The 3,718-nt window shown below is 46.9% G+C and overlaps 1 annotated feature.

The window, feature by feature from the left end:
- Positions 366–1,043: an enhancer, noted in NCBI's record as "NANOG-H3K27ac-H3K4me1 hESC enhancer chr18:7203119-7203796 (GRCh37/hg19 assembly coordinates)". NCBI's record gives its function as "activates a minimal SCP1, AML or CMV promoter by ChIP-STARR-seq in primed H9 embryonic stem cells {active_cell/tissue: H9 hESC(primed)}" and the evidence as "EXISTENCE:reporter gene assay evidence [ECO:0000049][PMID:30033119]".

Below are 3,718 nucleotides of genomic sequence, written 5' to 3'. Positions count from 1 at the left end.
GCAACCTCCCTGCCTGATTCTCCTGCCTCAGCCTGCCCAGTGCCTGGGATTGCAGGCGCGCGCCGCCACGCCTGACTGGTTTTTGTATTTTTTGGTGGAGACGGGGTTTCGCCGTGTTGGCCGGGCTGGTCTCCAGCTCCTGACCGCGAGTGATCTGCCAGCCTCGGCCTCCCGAGGTGCCGGGATTGCAGACGGAGTCTCGCTCACTCAGTGCTCAATGGTGCCCAGGCTGGAGTGCAGTGGCGTGATCTCACTCGCTACAACCTCCACCTCCCAGCAGCCTGCCTTGGCCTCCCAAAGTGCCGAGATTGCAGCCTCTGCCCCGCCGTCATCCCGTCTGGGAAGTGAGGAGCGCCTCTGCCCCGCCGCCCCGTCTGGGATGTGAGGAGCGTCTCCGCCCGGCAGCCGCCCCGTCCGGGAGGTGGGGGGCGCCTCTGCCCGGCCACCCCACCGTCTGGGATGTGTACCCAACAGCTCATTGAGAACGGGCCATGATGACGATGGCGGTTTTGTCGAATAGAAAGGGGGGAAGTGTGGGGAAAAGAAAGAGAGATCGGATTGTTACTGTGTCTGTGTGGAGAGAAGTAGACATAGGAGACTCCATTTTGTTCTGTACTAAGAAAAATTCTTCTGCCTTGGGATCCTGTTGATCTGTGACCTTACCCCCAACCCCGTGCTCTCTGAAACATGTGCTGTGTCCACTAAGGGTTAAATGGATTAAGGGCGGTGCAAGACGTGCTTTGTTAAACAGAGGCTTGAAGGCAGCATGCTCGTTAAGAGTCATCACCACTCCCTAATCTCAAGTACCCAGGGACACAAACACTGCGGAAGGCGGCAGGGCCTTCTGCCTAGACTTTTGTTCACATGTTTATCTGCTGACCTTCCCTCCACTATTGTTCTATGACCCTGCCAAATCCCCCTCTCCGAGAAGCACCCAAGAATGGTCAATAAATACTAAAAAAAAAAATAATAATAAAATAAATGAAAAATCTTCTTCTCCATGTGACTAATAGACAGAATTTGGTCCTGAAGACTAAAACTAAGGCAAAATCAAAGCGGATGTGACTGGAGAGGCTCACGTGCCATGGACTGTGCTATTTCCATGGCATTTAGCAGAGGATACGGTCACTGCCCATGTGGTGAAAGTTGTGAAATTGGAGACCCAAACTCCCCTGAGTCTAGTGCCCACTCTAGAATCCCCCCATTCTCGCTACTCAGCACAGAGCAGAGTTTAGTGGCCCCCATACAGTGTAATTGGGGAATTCATACAATAAAATCGGGAATATAAATTAAGTTGTATTCATATTATTTAATTGGATATTAATATCCAATTTCACTTGGAGATTTATTATTGGGTGATTTTAATTTAAGTAGAAGGACATACTTATTTCTTAAATAGATTATCATTGCAGTATTTTAAGCCGTATTATTATTAATCATTATTCAATGATTTACTGTAAATTAGTGCAACCCTTAGGGGGAAAATGGGAATGCCAATGTGAAGTGTTCAATCCTTGCTTATAATCTGAATATTTTGTACCAGGGTTGGAATGGAATTTTTGAGAAATGCTAACAGACCGGCACCTTGTATCATTCTGGGGTGTGTGTGTGTGTGCGTGCGCGCGGGTGTGCATTTGCATGCACATACTTATGCTTCATATAAAAAAGATGCTGGTATTTTGCCTCAGGAGCCAGGGAGCAATGATGACGGTGTTCTGTGACAGCTGGAATCAAATGTGAATGTGCAGCTGCTCATCAGAAAGCCGCTCTAGCCTCCAGAATAAAGAGGAAAGTGCTTCACCAGGCCCCATGCCAGCTGGTCCCTGCATTTCCCCGAGGTTTCTGCTCTTCCAGTCTCTGGTAGCTGTGGCCAGTCCTGCCAGTGAGCTTGCCCCCCTTAACCCCAGCCACCTGGAAAGCCTTTACCTCCAACCTCCCCTCTGCCCTGGTAATGCTCATGAACCCCGTACGTAGGTTTCCCCTTAGGCATGGATGTTTGCGTTCTCAGTTGGATTTCTCTGACTTTGTGATCTTTCTAGAGCCTCAAGTGCCAAGTAAAGGCTAAATATATTTTAAAGATTACCTACCATGAGCTATTTGGTTTTGGATGAAAAGTTGTAATGTTTTGAGTAGTTTACCTGAGTACTTTGGGTATTTGACTTTTGTTTCAATCATTATTTAGTAATGTTATTTTTTAGTGTTCTTCATGGGCTATTTTTTAACCAGTTAAGAGCTTTTGGCCGGGCGCAGTGGCTCATGCCTGTAATACCAGCACTTTGGGAGGCCGAGGTGGGTGGATCACCTGAGGTCAAGAGTTCGAGATTAGCCTGGCTAAAATTAAAATTAATTTAAAAATTAGCCAGAGTGGTGCCAGGCGCCTGTAATCCCAGCTACTCAGGAGGCTGAGGCAGGAGAATCACTTGAACCTGGGAGGCAGAGTTTGCAGTGAGCCGAGATCGCGCCACTGCACTCCAGCCTGGGCAACAGGAGTGAAACTCCGTCAAAAAAAAAAAAAAAAAAAAAAAAGGAGCGTTGGTGTGGGAAACAGAGGTTAGAAATCCAAAGCCATGATTCTTTAAATGTATGAAATGGAAATGAGAAAATGCATAAATATATAGCAGCAGATGATGTAAAGCTAGAGATTAGAATGATAGGAGGTACAGGAGAACTAGAAGAGGAAAAGAAGTCTCTGTGCACAGTTACTATACTTCTGCTGGACAGATTTCACTGGAGTATAGGCTATCTATGAAACAGTGGCTACTCCATATGCTAAACAATTCCTTTGAACAGTGGTCTGAACTGTTCTGTTAGATTCTGTACAAGATCAGCGGTTGGCTTGAGACCTGTGTGGCCTTAGGTCACGAAGGCACTCCTCATTTTTGACCTCTTGTGCCCTCAGAATTCCTGAGAAGCAAACATTTTTCACAAATTAGTGAGAGACTGAGAGGTGAAGCTGGCTGGGCTTCTGGGTCCGGTGGGGACTTGGAGAACTTTTCTGTCTAGCTAAAGGATTGTAAACATACCAATCAGCACTCTGTGTCTAGCTAAAGGTTTGTCAACGCACCAATCAGCACTCTGTAAGAATGCACCAATCAGCGCTCTGTGTCTAAATACAAGTTTAATAGGGTCTCACTCTGTCACCTAGGCTGGAGGGCAGTGATAAGATCACAGCTTTCTGCAGCCTTGATCTCCAGGTCTTAAGCAATCCTCCCACCTCAGGCCCTTGAGTAGCTGGGACTACAGGCATGTACCACTATGCCCAGCTATTTTTGAATGATTTTTTTTATAGAGATGGGGTCTTGCTATGTTGACCAGGCTAATTTTGAATTCCTGGTCTCAAGCAATCCTCCTGCCTCGGCCTCCCAAACTGCTGGAATTACAGGCATGAGCCATTGTGCCCAGCCACCCCTGCTTTGAATTCAACATGTGTCTGATTATTTTCCATTTTTGCATTGTTGTTCTGATAATGGAAGAAAACTTGGCTGCGTTGCACATATTGATAATGTAGCTGAGACACCAGGGGTTCGGCCTAGGTCCTGCTGCTTGCCACACAGAAAGCCAATCACTGAGACTATAAGTACTGCCAAGGAAGATGGCTTTCAGCAGGTGCTGCAACCAAAGAGATGGGAGTTCAGTCTCAAATCCATCTCCCTGACTAAAACTAGGGGTTTATTTAGCAGGGAAGAAATGTAACAACATGTACGAAAACAGGAACTAG

This window comes from Homo sapiens, chromosome 18, assembly GCF_000001405.40.
Source record: "Homo sapiens chromosome 18, GRCh38.p14 Primary Assembly".
In the NCBI taxonomy this organism is placed as follows: Eukaryota; Metazoa; Chordata; class Mammalia; order Primates; family Hominidae; genus Homo; species Homo sapiens.
This window is presented reverse-complemented; position numbering and strand designations above follow the sequence as displayed.